The sequence below is a fragment of the Homo sapiens genome, chromosome 18 (assembly GCF_000001405.40).
Source record: "Homo sapiens chromosome 18, GRCh38.p14 Primary Assembly".
Taxonomy (NCBI): Eukaryota; Metazoa; Chordata; class Mammalia; order Primates; family Hominidae; genus Homo; species Homo sapiens.
In genome coordinates this window covers 25,320,393-25,338,126 of record NC_000018.10, presented here as the reverse complement: position 1 = coordinate 25,338,126, position 17,734 = coordinate 25,320,393, and the positions used below count along the sequence as shown (strand labels likewise).

The window sequence follows — 17,734 nt, the reverse complement described above, 5'->3', positions numbered from 1 at the left end:
TGTTCCATGGTTAGACAGAGACAGTGAGTATAGCTAGCTGGGGTAATGTACCCAGGGAGCTAACTGGGCCAATCTTAAATTGTGATGTATATATGTGAGTGTTTTTTCTTTTCCCCAAACAAAAGCGGGAGGTCTCTATGTTGTCCTCCTTCCTAAATATATTTCCTAGCAGCCCTTCCATATAAGCACTTATGATCTCTCCCCTTTATTCTAATGACTTTGCAGTATCCATTGTATGATGGGCTGTTGTCTAGTCCATCCCCAGCTGCTGGTCATCAGGGTGTTTCTTTTTAGTTACTTATCTGTGTTGCAGGAAGCATGCATACATTCTTGCTGATATGTATGATTTTATATACATGGGATCAATTCCTAAAAATGGAATTGCTGGTTAAAGATAATGTGCATTTAAAATTTTAATGGATACCGCCAGTGTGCCCTCCAAAGAAGTAAGACCAATTCACACTGCAGTTGGCAGCAGGGTTAGAGAGTGCCTGTGTTTAAATACTTCATCCTTACTAATGCGACTTGTGAAAAAACAAACTGGTATTTAATTGACATTTTAATTAGCATTGCTGTAATTATGAGGTAGATTGAGCATCATTTCAATTGTTTATAAACTATTTGTATTTATTTTTCTGTGAATTGCCTTTCTATTTCCTTGGGTTTTTTATCTTCTGGTTTGAAAGAGCAGCTCATATTATTAAGAAAATTAGCTCTTTGCCTGACTTATGTGTTGCAAATATTTTCCCCAGTTTGCCTTTTGACTCTGTGGGTGGTAGTTTTTTCTCTTTTGCCATACAGAACTTCCAAATTTTTATTTTTGGTATTGTCAGCGCTTTCCCTTGTAACTAATAGATCTTGTGTCTGACATATTATAGAAAGGATTTTTTCCTAATCTTTCTTTTCATTCTGTGTTCCCCATTACACTGGCTGCAGTGTCTTGTTCCCCCACCTCCATCTCTGTGTCCCCAACCTCGCAGAATATTTCTGGGAATATAGTAGGTGCTTAGCAAACATTTATTAAATGGGGGAAGTATAGTGTAGTGGTTAAGAACATGGGTGTTAAACTAGACTCTCTGGGTTGAAATTCTAATCTGATTGACCTTGGGAAAGTTATTAAATCACCTTGTACTACAGTTTCTCCATCTGTAAATGAGGGTCCTACTAGTACCTAATTCAAAGAGCTCTTGTGAGAATTAAGAGTTAATTAGTGTAAGCTCTTAGAATAGTGTCTGGTAGATATGAAGTGCCTGGTAAATGTTTCTTTTTACTCTCAAAGGTTTTCTCACTTTTGTACACACCATAGCATACAACTCTTTTCTATTCTAGAAAGTTCCTTCTTGCTGTGGTTGAAGATTGGGAATTTTTATGTACCTGTGTGGTAGCACATAGCCCTTTCTGAAGCCTGTTTTGTGGGGGCTAGAGGGATTCTCACAAAGTCTTTGCCGAGTTCAGTCTGCCACGACAGGTACCTTCACCCTGGCCAATGCATTGATCCAGTCCAAAATCTAACTTTGCTTTGCCAACGTAGATAGAATTAAGAAAGAAAAATTACTGCAGAAATTCCAATTAAAAGATAATGGAAGCATAAAGTGAAGCTAATTAATTTTAGCACCTCTGCCATCTTTTTTTGGTAAGTCGGATTGGTGTCTTTTAGGTTCCTTGCAAAAGGGCCAGTGCTAATTTACAAAGGTAGTCTAATTGTTCTTGGGAGAGGAACTGGAGACAAATAATTCACATATCATTATGAAAGTTTAATCATAGCAGATTTATTAATAATCCTTAAATTAAAAAGATAAATCTGGGCTTGGGTTTACAAAAGAATTAGTGGAACGAGGGGATGATTTTCTGCATCACCTCAGTCATCAGTAAATTTGTCTACAAGCATTTTCTTCTTGGCTTCAGAGAGAGATTCTGTGTTGTCTAGAAGCACATGTGGGTATAGAGATTGAATGTGGAAGGAGAATACAGGAATGGTCTGCTGACTGGCGGTTAACTCCCATCCATGCCTGGCTGTGTCTAGCCGGTGCTTTAATTTTATTTGAGACCTTATTTTGGGGCAGATTGACATTGTTTTCCTCTTGGTTTCTTCTTTATTCTTTCTGCAGTAAATCCTAACTGTTCAGGTTGTTTTAATTTCCCCTTAACTTCCCTTGCTTGTTCAATCTCAAGTCTTTCTCTCTTCAGTTTGTGAAATCACCCAGGCCCCACTTCCAGATTGCTTGACTCTGCTGGCCCTTTGGGCTTTAGAAGCCCAGCCTCTGTCCGCGCTCGCTGGTTGACCTTGGCATTCACTTGTCCGGTGATACTCTTCGTAGACACTATCTTTTCTTTTAACTTTAACTAAATGTAAACTGTCATAAAGTTGTCTTTCTATACCGACAAAGTCTAAAACCTTAATATATCCAATCAGATGACTTTCAAATAGCCATTTATACTTTTTTCTTCAACCTTAATGCTAAATGAAGTGAGAGAATTAGTAATGAAAATCAGAGTGGGGAGAGCCAAGAGGATTGAGCGAGGCCACTTTTAATGAGTGGAATATCTTTAAATGATAGAAAGTGACAAAGGAAATTTCACTTTGGGATCGCTTAATATAGATATTCTGGAAAACACTTTTAAAAGGGTATTGGGTGCGGGTGCTAGTTTAGTTTCCCGAAAGGTCAGCCAGGGCTGGGGATGGACATCTGGTTAGGCGAGGTACAGAGTGTTTTGAGGACAGGAGAGGATACAGATCATGAGAGTTTAGAGCAGGGAAGACCCTAGAGATGACCCACTTGCTGTCTCCAAGACCCAAAGACCTTAAGTTACGTATTCCAGGTCACACCATGACTTTGTGACAGACTAGGGAGGAGTCTCAGTCTCTTGATTTATAATTCTAGGAACTACCTTTCATGGCTATACACATTTTAGGTGATGGGAGGAAAAGTGACTTTTCCAACCCTCTCAGACTTTTTCTGAAAGCAAAAATTACAGGCTCACTGCTCTGAGAGCATCACCTTCCTTATTCTAGTCTGAGCAGTGGAATGTCTCAGTGCTTTGGTCCTGTGTGCACAATCGGCATGTCACAATGAGTAGACACAAGGGACCCGCTGCCTGGTGGACCTGTGTTTGAATCCTGCACACTATTAACAAGCTACATGTTATTGAACCTTACTAAACCTCAGTTTTCTTACCAGTAAAATGTTAGGAATAGACCTTGCAGGACTGTCATATTAACAAACAAACATAAGGTGCTTAATGGATGTCTGGCTCTTAGCAAATCACTAACTGGTAATAGCTTTCTATTCTGGATGAAGTTCTCTGGGAAGCTGGGGAGGCCTGCATGTTTTATCCTCTTTATGTTTACCTCGTTTGCAAAGTCTCTAGGGGTGGCACTCAGTATTGCGGCTGCTTTGCCTTTTTGTGTAGAGAAGAAAATATTTCCCCTTCTGGAGAAAGCCTAAGAGGAATTGTGTGAACTTTTATATTCAACTCTTAGTAACCATTATCTACAATAAAAGGTGGGTAATGGAGCTGGAGGAGAGTTGAGTTCACTATTTTTGACAAATACCTTATGTGTGGGCACCTGTTTAACGTTTCAAAAGACACTGTGTCTTCCTTTGGCTTTAAATGTATCCTTTGTCAGTTATCATTGCTCTCATTTTATAGGTGAGAAAACTGAGTCACATACACTGGGCCCATCCAGTTAGTATGGCTGAAGCAGAAAAAGAACTTGAAAGTGGGCATCTTTCATCCCATACTTTTCAAATGAAGAAGCCAAGACTCGTCATAAACCAAATCAAGATGTAGAAATAATTAATCCACTGGCCACCAGATCTCTCCTCTGATGTTCCTTTTGACTTCAGGCATTTAGATCTGAGTTCCCTCTCCTTTTCTACTCTTCTGCCTCTAAGAGAAAGTTACTTCTCCAAGAAAAATATGGTAGCATTAAAAGCAGTGGAATCCTGACAAATCTGTAATTGTATAATTAAAGGCTTTGTCTTCTGATTAAAAAAAATTGAATGCCTCTGGAAGCTGATCTGGGAGATATTTTAGTGGTGGTGGCAAGGGGGTGCTGGAGTGTTTTCTTCATTGCTGGTGAAATCTTGGAACTACTGCCTTGTAGAGGTTGAGTAGACTTTCAAAGGTCTTTCTTCTCCGTGCTGTTACTCAAAGGTCAAGAGATTTGCTTGGGTGGAGCCCACCAGCTTGACTTCTGGGAAGAAGTGAGTGATGGTTGTGCCTGCAAAGACTATAGCAGTGCACCTGGCTTTGGGCTGACTAGCCCCTGGTAATACCACACTGCCTGTATTAAACACACCATGAAGCAGATAGAGGAGAAACAAATTCATATTTCCCACTGGCAGATTAAGGCACTTTACCATCCTGAAATTATCCCTGTTTTCTTTTGTTCGAAATATATTACATTTGATACAGTTTTTCTTCATGGCTGTGAAAGATGGACATACCCATTGCAGGGATAGGTTGTCCCAAGGACTGGTGTGGCATTGATACCTTCTGTGGAGGCAATTGGGCATGACCTGTCACTGTTTCTGAAAAAAATTACTCCAATTCTGACATCCTAGAGATGGTATTTCAGAGACAGGATGTACTTTTTTTTTGGGTGGTGTTGGCTAAATGTAAGGTTTCAAATGTGTTGGATTTTAAAAAAATACAAACAGCAACAGCGGAATTGACCAGATTATTTTCCTTATTATTCTCTTTTAAAAGTAAGATGAGCCCTGGCCCTTCTGCCCACCCTCTGAGAATATGCTCCCTCCGCGTATATATTTACATATATATATGTGTGTATATATATATATATATATAGAGAGAGAGAGAGAGTGTGTCCTTATTAAACCACATGCTTATTAAACTACATAGTAAAAAAGCAAAACAAATAAATATAGGTGTTTATTTATCAGCCATTTCCTCCTATGTGTGATTGATTTCGTTGATATTACTTTATGCATATTTGGAGATTATCTGGAAATAATCATTTGAAAATATGTTTACATATAGCATTATACGATAAAATATATACTACTCTAGTATATATGTATATATACATATGTATAGATTTGTATATGTATATGCTACATTATATACATAAATACTATACAAATATATAATATGTGGTCACATTATCCTGACAAGTCGAGATTGAGACAATATAAGTGGGAACACATTTCCACGAACAACTATTAATTTACAGTTACTATGATAATGGCGTACACGTTCACTTTTAGTTCTATCTGGGTAGCTCTGTAAATTGTGTATTGATTATGCTAATGGCACTCGTGTCTTTATTACTTGTCTGCAGATACATGCAGATTGAATGCACATTTGGTGAGGTGGTCATTCTGTAGGAAAAAGTACATTTTTAAAACCTGGCTTTTGGAGAGATTGTATTAAAACTAAAGAAAAACATTAGACTCATATGGACACCTAAGGAATTATTTTGTGTCCTAGGAAATGAAAAGTGCAGTTAAAAAATTTAAAACAAATGATGCTCTTATATTATCTTTGTTTCAGATTCCTTAAGGAAAGTGTTACAGAAATGGAACTAAATCAATAATGATCTATTTTTATAGTTTATTTTTGGTTGTGTGGCTTTTCTTGTTTTGTTTATCAGGATGAAGGAACCTTCGACATTTAGGGTTGTATGTATTTTAAAATTTATTAGACCAACTAGGGGAAGACACAATGAATTCCTTTTTTTCAATTATACATAAATTTTCTTGTAGTTTATAATAGCTCATAAGGTATAAATCACAGCCTCTTTTTTTTTTTTTTTGCTGTGATCTTTCATTATACAAATTTGTGCCTTATGTTATAGGATTTTTCTTTTTTTAAAATTTCTCTTTTCCTGAGTCATCATGTTACCAAGGCAGTTGTTTTGAAAATGCTTTCTTATCTTCCTAAGTGGGATCATTTCTTACAAATGTAGACTTTTCCACTTAGAAAAGAAAAAAATCTGTTTTCATTTGTTTTCAAATTATTTTTCTTTTTAATGGCAGTTTGATTCCCAGTTTGACAGCCATTTGGAGCTGCTGAAGGGGAAAAAGAAAGAAAAAACCCAACATTTTTTCATGTTCCTGGGTGAAATAAATCTGTTTAGTGGAATATTAAATGCCCAAAATGTTTCGATTAATTTTGGCAAACTTTAGACAAATCCAATTGTTCTTGTCTTTCAAATATATGATTGCAGTTAAGGAGAGGAATTTCCTAAATTTAAAAAAAAAAAAAAAGAAAAAAGCAAGTCCAAAGTCACTAGTAAAGAGAATTGAATGATAATATTGTATTGATTTTTGTGAATGAGGTTGGGGTTTACCTTCTCAAAATGTGAAAGTGAGTATTGCTACATTGCAGCAAGCCAGTGTTTCCTGATTCAAACAAAACACTTTCCCCCCAAGCTAATGCCTCAGCAATTGTTGAGATAGTTAACTTTAGGTGTCCAATTCAGAAATGTTGCAATTTGACTGGCACTGTCTAAAATGGCTGAAAAAATACAAACAGTTGGTGTAAGTATTAGTATGATATCGTTAATACAAAGGCATTTAGCCGCAGATTTTTCTTTGCTTGGGGAAACTAATGCTTTCTAACTGTGCTACTAAGACTACATAGACTTATTTAGTAAAGAGGAGCCAGATTCTTTCGCAAATGTCCAAATGTCTAAATCCTAGGTTCAAAAATTGGTTTTATTTCTTATTGTAGCTGTCTTGTCTGAGAAGCAGTTTTCAGTATACCTGGTCATTATGTACTAAAGACTACACAGAAATGTTTTCAAATAATTTGTTTTCCTCCAGAGTGGATTTTTTTTTTTAGCAGTTTTAAAGTTGCTTTACTATCGAGAAATTAGTGCTTGATTAGCTGGATATTAAAAATATTTGTGTGTAGTATCTTTCTTATGTAAAATGGAAGAAGGGAGTCCTTGAGGCTCGGTTTAAGATTGAGCATGGAACTACAGAAGCTGGTTTTGTTTCTTTTTGCAGGAAGTTAGAGACTATATGAGATTCAAATGTGTCATTGTTGAATCTGAAGGCATCAGGGTAGTTGGAAGAGTGAGGCATTTCAAATCTGGCAAGAAGAAAGGCTCATGCCAAAGCAAAACAAAATAAAAACAACACGGTTACAAAAAGACTCTGGGTATTTTACTTTAAGCCCTTCATCTAGAAAAAGCTTCAGCAGGGTACTTTTTTCTTTCTTTATTAGCGTAGGTGATTTTGAGTTTGTGTACCCATTTCACCCTTGTGTCATCTCTTTCCCCTGCTGCTCTGTCGCATTCTTTGTGGTTCCTTACCATATTTTCTTTTAGGAGAAGGCTGTGTGCACCTTTTAAAACAAGTATTTTAAATTTATTGGGGTTTTATGTTATTAAAAGTAGTAGTCTGGTGTTTTGACTTTGTCTGATGAAAAGAATCATGAACTCCAAGTAAAATCGTGTTAACTTACTTAAACTAATGGTTAATGATATATTTAAAGAAGAAATAAGAAAGAGATATTAGAATCAATGTCTCTTTTGGTTTTCAGTTTAATTTTATACTTATTCTTCTTTGGCATTGTGTGTGCTTAAAATAAAGCTAAAGTTAAAGGAGTCTTACCAAAGATCCTTGAAGTCCTGAGAAGTGTCTTTGGGGCCCCTGGAAACCTCTGGTACTAGGTTAAAAAGTTAGCTGGTGGCTGGGCATGGTGGCTCACGCCTGTAATCCCAGCACTTTGGGCAGCTGAGGCGGGTGGATCATGAGGTCAAGAGATCGAGACCATCCTGGCCAACATGGTGAAACCCTGTCTCTACTAAAAAAATATAAAAATTAGCTGGGCATGGTGGCACGGGCCTGTAGTCCCAGCTACTTGAGAGGCTGAGGCAGGAGAATCGTTTGAACCTGGGAGGCAGAAGTTGCAGTGAACTGAGATTGCACCACTGCACTCCAGCCTGGCGACAGAGTGAGACTCTGTCTCAAAAAAAAAAGAAAAAGAAAAAAGTTAGGTGGTGTGATTTTTCTGCCCAGTTTTTCTCCAGCTTTGGCACTTCTTTGTCACTATTTAGGTAAGTGAGAATATGGGTAAAAGAAAAAACCTGGATGTGAAGATAGTGAGAAAAGCATGCTCCTGTCTAGGAATGGCTCCACCAAGCATGGTGCCTGGCAAACACTGAGACAGCTCTCCACTTTCCTCTCTTCACCATCCATCCAGATCCTGTTTCCATAGTGGCTCCCAGAACCATTATTTCCTTTCTGCCGTTGACTTAGTTTTCACTTTCTACTTACTTCCTGGTTTACCCTGTAGCCTCTGGATTGGTCTCTTTGCTTCCAGGTCTGATCTTTGTCCATGCCATCCTCTCAGTTACCAGTGGAGCATCTTTGTAAAATGTCAATCAGATCATTCACTCCCCTACTTAAAATCCATCAGTGATTTCTCATAGCAGTGAGGTTAACATCTGGACATTACACTCACAGGAGTTCCTTCGTGCTCTAGCCGCTTTTCCAGCCTGCTCTCTGCCGCTGCCTTACTGTCTGTCTGGTCTATCCCTCCCTCGCCCCCATTTTGAATAGCAACACAGGTACTTGCATTTCTTTGAAGTCATCATGTTGTTTTACGTATCTGTGGCCTTACCTTTGTTTCTATTTCCTAGAGAGCTGTGTTCTTGTTCCCAGTGTTATGTGGCCTTCAAAATGTAGCCCAACTTGCTCTTCTTGGGATAAAATTTCCCTGCCCCGATTTAGATGCCCCTCCATCTGAGTACTTATCCCTCTTGCTGTAGTCGTTGACTTACTCTTCTCTTTCTCTCCTTGTGCCAGTCAGGCCTTGTCATGAAATAACATATGCAGAAAAGTGATAAGTTTCAAATGGCAAACTTGGGTAAATGGACAAAACCACTCAAGGCCAGGGAAGACAGACTTGCAGTTTCCAGTCACCCCAAGCTGTGCCTGGTCACCTTGAGGATCAGTATCCCAAAACACTTGAACTTGCTTTTGACCCACCAGTTGGGAAGCGGCAGCAAATTGCAAACTTCTTGGGACAGGAATTTAGACGTTGTATCTCCAGGGCCTTGATCAACTGGCTGTTAACCACATAGGTGCTCAAGAAATGTTTGCTTACTGAAGTTGTGACAAGGCAGCCATAGAAATTCATTGTGAAGTTAAATGACTTTAAGGTAGGAATATGTTAGTAACTACTACTAACATAGTTAGTTACAAACTACTCTTTGTATTAAAGTTGGAGTACTGAAGTTGCTTTCTTCCATTGTGTCTTTCTTTTACCAAATTTCATGTTAAAGATAAAGGGGGAATAGGCCAGCGCGATGGCTCACGCCTGTAATCCCAGCACTTTGGGAGGCTGAGGCTGGTGGATCACAAGGTCAGAAGATCGAGACCATCCTGGCTAACATGGTGAAACCTGGTCTCTACTAAAAATACAAAAAATTAGCCAGGCATGGTGGCACGTGCCTGTAATCCCAGCTACTCAGGAGGCTGAGGCAGGAGAATCGCTTGAACCCGGGAGGCGGAGGTTGCAGTGAGCCAAGATCACGCCACTGCACTCCGGCCTGAGCCAAAGAGCGAGACTCCGTCTCAAAAAAAAAAAAAAATTAATAAAAAAATAAGATAAAGGAGGAATAATGGAAGAAAGAAACTTGGGTATATCTTTCTGATTGGAAGAGAAGAAACTTTTGTTGCAAAGTGTGAAAGTGAATGCGTGTGTGTGTGTGTGTGTGTGTGTGTGTGTGTGTGTGTGTGTGTGTTTAACCTCCCCTAAGGCTAATTTCCTCCCATTCAGCGTCCTCCTTCAAGGAATTTCACTGTAGATAGTGGTAATAAATTCACAATTGGCATGTTCTCCTTGATAACAGTACATCTGTGATATTTCTCTTTGGTCTTCAAGGACCGTGATAGACCTGTAGAACAATCAAGCAAAACCACAGAAAGTCTAAACTTCAACAGTGCGATTTTGTTTAACACAGAGATCATTCTTTCTGTCTGAGAAGATTTTATAGACAAAGGAAGGAACAAATAGATTACAGGTTCCTTTTCTTCTTCTGTAAAACAATTTAACAACTTTCAGAGAATAGAGTGGTTAGAAAATAAACATTGCAGAAAGAGGTAAAAGGAGCACATTCTTATCCGTGACCACAGAGCTCTTTGGACTGGTTGGTGCCCAGCCAGGTGTCTGCCTGGGATGCCCATCATAATCCTGCTAAGTTGAGGCCGATGTGGTTCCGGGGATGCTCAGCCCTTAGCCACCCCATCGATTGCTTTTTTTGTTTGTTTGTGTTGTGTTTGTTTGTTTACCTTTAGTTGACAGTAATAAAAAAAATGAGGCAGCAGACCAGCAGGCGAGTGCGGGACAGACGGCTGCACAGTCTGGCAATGCTGCCTTCCTTCATTAGAGTCTGCTTGCCATTTTATAACAGTGTGCGATTTATTTCCCCTAAATCTGTTTTCGTCTTATGGGATTTCAAGTTAGAATGCATATCTAGAGCCCAGAAAGCACAAAATAATGATCCCGCCCTTTGGTTTTTGCAAACCAGGAAGGCTTTCTACTTCTTGTTAACTCTTTGTAGCCTGAAGGTAACTTTTTCTCTGTTCTTAAAAAGTATAAACATAAATCAGGGATTAGGATTTGAACATACTTGTAGGGGAGGAGTGCTTTCAGATATGGTTTATTTTAAACAGATACTCTCTGATTTTCTTTTTAGGTGTGGGACTTCTAAATATGTCACGAAACCTAGAAGGCTAGTTGTGAGTACACATATGAACTTTAAATACAACATCATTAGACAGTTAATTACGTTTAGTACAAGATGGTTGTTAACCTGAGATGCATCATTTGCAGTGATTTGGGGAGATTTTGGTGTGGAATGCATTACTTTGAATTATTTGTTTACTTATTTAGCATGGAATTCCTGGATATGTGACATGGGTTATAATGCCTTTTTAATTTCAGACAATATCCTTGAAAGAAAGAACTCGGGCAGCTTTCTAAAGTCTCAAAAACCCTCTATTTTTACTAGTTCACTAGCAGTGTAGTGTTGGGGCCACTTTTTCTTTAATTTTTTTTTGTGACAGTTTTAGGCTACTGAGATCCTGGAGGTCATGGTCATCACAGTGAAGCTAAGACTTGTTTTTTTCAGACAGTATGTATTTTTTAGTTGGTAGTTTCTTGAACTCACTGGGCACTGTGTGGGTTGACTTAAGATTGAGTAATTCATGCCATGGCTGTTTAATTTGGTGACAAGCTGGCTATGATCAGAGAACAAACTGTTAGGAAGTGGTCCAGTTTTAAGTTTGCGTGAGTATATAAGTGGAGTATTTTGGGTTCATTCATCTCTTGCCAGTCTTAGTTGTTAAGTAATCTTCTTGCATTCATATTTACATCATCCTCAGAATCTTGTGTTTCTGCCACTCTCATAAAAACTGACTCTGGTTTTTAAGGTAGAGCTTCATGCTTGGAATTAACCAGGAAAAACCTCATTTATATCTCCAGCAAGAGGGACAGAGGGCCTGCACTGTGTACTTGCTGCCAGAAGTTTTTATAGTAATACTTTGTATCTAGGCTCTGGCTCTTACCATTAAATGTGCTTTTTATAGAGTACCAAGTTATAAATGTAGTGCAGCTACGGCATATTAATCTTACTGCAGAGATTTAATGAGGCAGTTGTTTTGCGATGGACACTATTGGGAGCAGAGAGCGACAGAGTTTTACTTTACCACTGAGCTGCAGAAATATTCCTTGCCTGGTAATAATTATAACCACATGATCTCTTAGTTTTTCTTTCTTTTGCCAGTGCTTTTCCATGCAAAAGTGGCTTGGAAGGAGGTCCATTTTGAGGCAGTGAAATGGATTGGAAATTGGGCTGTTTTCTCAGTAGTTTGACATTTTAGCTTTGATCAGGCATGGGATCCTTGTTGCACAGAGAGAAATATGTAAGATGAGTTTCAAGAATACAGATAGTCTTTGCCAGTCCACTGAGATGGCTTTTAGATATTCATTACTTTTACTTGACTTTTATATAGGTTATAAAAAGTAAATGTGGTGAAACCTCATTTTTACATGGACAGAATAGAATTTCTGCTGGTTGGCCTTAAACTGATCCCACACTTGAAATTAATTGAAGTCCATGGGTTTATTGCCTCCAACACTTTTAAGCCAGTGCAATTTTTCATTTTCCCCACAGTTGTAATTTTATTAAAGCAAGTTATAGCAATAACAATTCTTATGAACAGGAGGATGAGACGAAGAAAAGAACCACCTGCCAGAGAACACAATCAGGGAAAAGAATGCTTCTTTTACATTCCTATTTATAAGTAATGTTAACAAAATTGGAAACAGAAAGCTGCCACTTACTTTTGTAATAATAATTGTGCGTGTGTTCCAAAATTCAGCATTTTATCCAATCAGAACGGTATAAATCCAGTGTCCCACAGCACCCTTTTCAGAGGATGAGGTGGAAAGTTGGTTGAGGAGGTGAGATCATTTGTGCTGAATGCAACATGTTTGCGCAGCATCATTTAGGGTAGGGGGAGAGAGAGTGGTGCCTGCAGCTATGACACAGTTTGTAGTTGCAGTGTAGAGAGTTTGGGGATATTTTAAAATATCACCCTTTGCGTGGATTTATAGCACAACAATGGAGTTGGAAGAACAATGATCCTTCCTGCAGTGGTGCTGGGGGCAGGGCAGTACTTACAGGCATGGACCTTGTATTTATAACCCCTTAGGTTGAAGTCAGAGGTTTGAATGGCTAGCAGAGTAATACAATTATTTTTTATGATTGGATCTCAAAGGACTTTATAAAAACTACATCACTAAGTCCATGTGCAATTATTGAAGTGTAGCCACCTGTGGGAAAGAAATGGTTGACAGTGTAAGCTTTCTAGAATCTTCCTACATCAACTGGCATTAGGGATGCAAACCCCTAGCACAAATAAACACATCTTTTGAATGGGCAAAAAAGAGTTTTTCATGAAAGTAGAGGCTGGAAAAATCTTACAAGGAGAGAGACTGAGATTCCAGTACTCATTACACCAAGGCATCATAGGCTATAATCGAACCCGCTTCCCAGAGGGTCCCTCTTAAGTGTTGACCTAAAAACAAATTCGCCAGTTGGCTGGAGCATGCATCCTAAAGTTGCAGCAGAAGTGAATAAGCTTGACTGACTTCAGTCCCTGAAGGGTTCTATCTGCAATTGCAGAAGTGGAAGCAAAACTATTTTTTATTAGTCTTAAAATGACCCTCATTTTAATAACTAGCCACAGTGTTGGAAGCATGGACTGGGGTCGGTTCTTCAGCTTTTGAGAGCGAAGCCATCATGCATTCTTCTATGTTTGTATTTTTGATATTGGATTCATGGAAAGTGTCCATATTCTTGAATAATAAGGAAAGTGAGTTTTTATCATTTTTCTCTGTATAGTACTTAAAGTATTCACAGAGTCTCCTTATTTAAAAACAAACAGGTCTGCAAACTGGATGTGTAGCATTTAAATAATCATATTAAAAATCAGACCTAACAGCGACATTTCCCTGAGTGTTATCAGTTTTTTTGAGAAACTAGAAACTCATGCTAAACAACCAAGAGTATTCATGAGTGCATACTGCCTTCCAATAAGTGTTTTAATGGTGTGGGGGTCAATTTGCCATAGTTGGGACTGTTATTTATTTTCCTGAATTGCTGTCTAGTTTGGCAGTGTTTCATCACTTGGTTTTAGTTTGTTGGAGATCTTTGAATCATTGCCATTTTTTTTTTTTTTTGCATCTGTTGCCCCAGATGAAATATTTGAGAGAAGCAAACCCAAATGTGGTGGGTCCTGTAGTATCAGCTTTGGAAAATGTAGGCATGCTGGTGCTTTTTACTTTACAGGTAACTGGTCTGTTCCTGTTTACAGAAAAAATACTGGTAAAGGACTTTTAAAGGTAGTCTCTATTTTTTTCTCCTTCCGTTTCTCACCATCACTAAATAATATTTACTAAACACTCACCTGGACATAGAACTCTGCTTGGCAGAGTACAAGACAAATGCAAAATCCCTGTGATTACTCCCCCAGGAATGAGCAGTCTAAATCCTGGTATACCGAAATGGGCACTGTGTAGAATGTTGAGATAATAATTTTCCAGATGGCAAATCAGCCCAAATTACCAATGTACTTAAACAGTGTGTTAATTTTGAAAAAACCCAACAAACAAAACTACGTGCTCTTTGAGATGGGAATTTTGCTTTTTTTTTTTTAAGAACCCAAGAGATTGTCAGATACATGGTGATATAAGTTGATTTTGGCATATGTGAATCGTTGGAAGGGTGGTGATATAGTTGTTTATTGAAGATGTGAAGGAAAGCTCTAGAACAACTGCCAGACAAGAAAGGAGTATAAGTGACTTGTAGAAGAAGCATTCATAGAAACGTGCTATGTGCAACATAGCAGAAAACAATCTCAGAGAGCAGGATATTGGTGTGGCGTTCATGGACTTTTTTGAGAAATACTTGGTTATTTTTGATTCTGTGGATTCTTGATTGTAACATTTAATGAAATATCTAAAGTGTTAAATAGCTGGGCATGGCAGTGTGTGCCTGTGGTCCCAACTACTTGGGAGGCTGAGGCAGGAGGATTGCTTGAGGCCAGGAGTTGGAGGCTGCAGTGAGCTATGATAGTGCCTATGAATAGCCACTGCACTTCTGCTTGGGCTGCCTAGTAAGACCCATCTCTAAAAAGCAAAATTAAAAACATTGAATATATTTGTATTTAAATTATCATATTTATTGTAGCCATTAAAAGTAATATTGTAGTCATATAAAAATGTGGCTACAGATAATGCCTTACGTATTTCTTAGGTATCTTGATACAGTTATTTTGTAACCATTTCATTGACTAGTCAAGGCCTTATAGAAAATAGAAATCTCTAGTTTAATTTTACCGTATTTTGAGATATAGTTTATTTATGACTTTGGAGGAGTTTTTGCTACTGGAAATCAGTGACCCATAAATTCAGTCACTGATTGTATTATCCCATTATCTTAATTTCCCCCAAAGAGATACTCTTCAGCCCCCTCCCCACACAGTTCCTTTCTTCCTCCCTCTTTGGGAGGAAATGACTCAAAGGACAGCGTAACTAATCAAAAAGCGTTTATTGAGCTCTAAGTAAAAGCATTCCACGTGCTTTTCTCTCCCCGCACCCCCACATCTCTCCCTGCTGTTTGTGTATCATTTTTAGGGTGAAAATGGAACTATTTTTAGTTTTCACAACATTTAGCTTTTCAACATTGGTAATGCCAACTCAAGTTGTTGACTTCATTATTATTTATAATTGTTTTTCATATATCTTATTTCACTTTTTTGGATAATTTTGAAAACAAGAGACATACATTTACACTTGAGTTTGCATTTGTAAGAATGTTTTGCCATGTGATACAGCTTATTTTGCTATCACTGTCTAACAAATAATGGAGTAGCTGTGTGTTTTGACCAGTTTATAAGTAAAGGTCAATTTTGTGCCTATGGTAATTGGCTTAGCTTATTCTAGACTTTTGGCTAATTCTGGTAATTTCCCGTGAAAGAGTATATTTAGCAGAAAAAGAGTTCATTCTTAAGCACAGTGGGGGGGTTTTTTTTTTTTTTTTTTGCATTGGAGACTGTTTAATTTTAAAAGTGATTTATCTCTTTTAAGCGAAAACTAAAAGGCTATGAAAAAAATGGTAAAGTCAGTCTTAAGAGTGGGTGAGTGATTTGATGGGAGAGAGAGGAAAAGGGCTACATGGTGGGGAAAGGGAAGAAGGCCTTTGATAGTCACTAACTGAATAATTTTAGGAGAGGCTCACTTTTGATTCTCCTGTAATAAAATCTGCAATGAAGCCCTCCTATTGCAACTTCAAGGAAAATGGTGTTTCTGTTTTTGGTAGCAAGAAGATTAAATGTTACTTTAAAAGAACCTGTCTTTAAACCCCATACTTACAGTGTTGATATTTTTCAGACCCCAACTGTAAACTTGAAGACAAGACTGAAGATGGAGAGGCACTAGATTGTAAGAAGAGGCCGGAAGACGGGGAGGAGTTGGAAGACGAAGCTGTGCACAGCTGTGACAGCTGCCTCCAGGTGTTTGAATCGCTGAGCGATATCACAGAACACAAGATTAATCAATGTCAACTGACAGGTAAACAATACTTATCACTTTTTTGTCTTCTTGTACTGTTCTATTTCTGATTTTTTCAGTTTGTTCCTTTATGTGTTTTTCTCTTCAAATTATTTTATTCCTACATTTGAATACCTAGCTAAGTCTAGAGGTGCTTTTGAAAGAATTCTGAGATGGTTGTTTGGGGTAACCTCAGTGTCACAGCCCTCTTAGATTTTGAAATGCACCTAAATGTCAATAGCTAATGAGTGTATTTTCCTTTTTGCTTTTTTTTACATGATGCCATTTAGGAGCAGAACATGAATATTGGATGACTAATATATTTTAAAAATCCTTTGAATACCTTTTCAAAGACAGCATGAGAAATGAACATGTTAGCTTAGATAACACTTCCTGAAGGAAACCTTTTCTGATCTCCCTCTGCCTGAGTTAGCCACATTTTTTTGTGTTCCCATAAAGTTCAATACTTATCCTTGAGCACCACAGTTCTCACTGGGTATGTTCATTTTTCCATCTCACTCGTTAGACTGAAAGCTCATGGATGGCTGAAACTGTGTCTTATTCATTCTCGCATTATCTAAGCCTAGCACAATACCTGGCCTATAGTAGGTACTCATTAAGGCTGGCAAGTTATTCTGCTATGCAGTTCCTTGGAAGAGTCAGATTTAAAGTAACATGTTGCATAGCATGTTTGATGTAATGGCTAAATAAAACTGGGACTCAGTTTACCAAATATCTACCCCACTTAAAATATATCCTACAAGAATGCATCTCTGAGCCTGGGTAGGGCATTTTAGATAGAACTCTGTAAGATACACATCATTCTGCTCTTTCTGTTTGAAGCTGATGCCACTCCTATGTGTGTGTATGTGTGTGTCTCTCTTTCTCTGCCTCTTATTTTCCCAACACAAATCTTTCTTCCATTAAGCGAGTATGGGAAATGTGTTTACTGGACAAGTGGTTCTCTGACTGTTTTCCACAGCATATTCATATTTTTATAAGATTTTAAAGTGTGTTCTATTTTAACAAGGTTTTCTGAATGGATTATTGTGGAATGTTGGATTAAATCCATTAAATAGGCTTCTTTATTAAAAGTGCCTTGTGGCTCTTCTCTTCAAAGAGGGATTACAGTGAACAAGTTTATTAGGCCCCAGAATCATCTTCCTTTCAGAAAACCCATAAACATTTTCTGGAACTGAAGTTTGAGAATTGATGTTGCTTATATAAATATTGGCCATACATATATATTTTACAGTTTATATATGCTTCTAGGGAGCAACTTTTATTTTGATACAATTCCAAACATACAGAAAACTTGAAAAAATAATATAAGGAACTTCCATATCATTTACCTGATTCATCAGTTGCTTACATTTTTCTCCATTTACTTTATTATTCTCTTCTTCCCTCTCCTATAGCATCTCTTTCTTAATCATTTGAGAGAAAGTTGGAGACATCATCACACCTCTATACATATATCCTTTGTATTTCTGAAGAACAAATCTATTCTCTTACATATCTATAGTATACTTACTGAAACTGAGAAAGTTAGCCTTTAGGCCAGGCGCGGTGGCTCACACCTGTAATCCTAGCACTTTGGGAGGCCGAGGCAGGTGGATCATCTGAGGTCAGGAGT

General features: G+C 38.0%; 1 protein-coding gene across 11 annotated transcripts in view; it reads left to right on the top strand.

The window, feature by feature from the left end:
• ZNF521 (zinc finger protein 521) overlaps positions 1 to 17,734 on the top strand; it is a 290,243-nt gene that overhangs the window by 14,040 nt on the left and 258,469 nt on the right. For 7 of the 11 annotated variants that reach the window (XM_017025697.3, NM_001308225.2, XM_011525909.4 and 4 more), the window contains one exon: positions 15,940 to 16,119. Coding sequence is in view for 3 of the 11 variants with exons in the window: in XM_011525909.4 (XP_011524211.1) it covers positions 15,940 to 16,119 (180 nt within the window). In the remaining 8 variants the exon portion in view is untranslated. Of the gene's footprint in view, positions 1 to 10,678; positions 10,722 to 13,837; positions 13,891 to 15,939; positions 16,120 to 17,734 lie in introns of all 11 variants that reach the window. The other 4 variants (XM_047437473.1, XM_024451141.2, XM_017025698.3 and 1 more) reach the window with 2 other exon arrangements.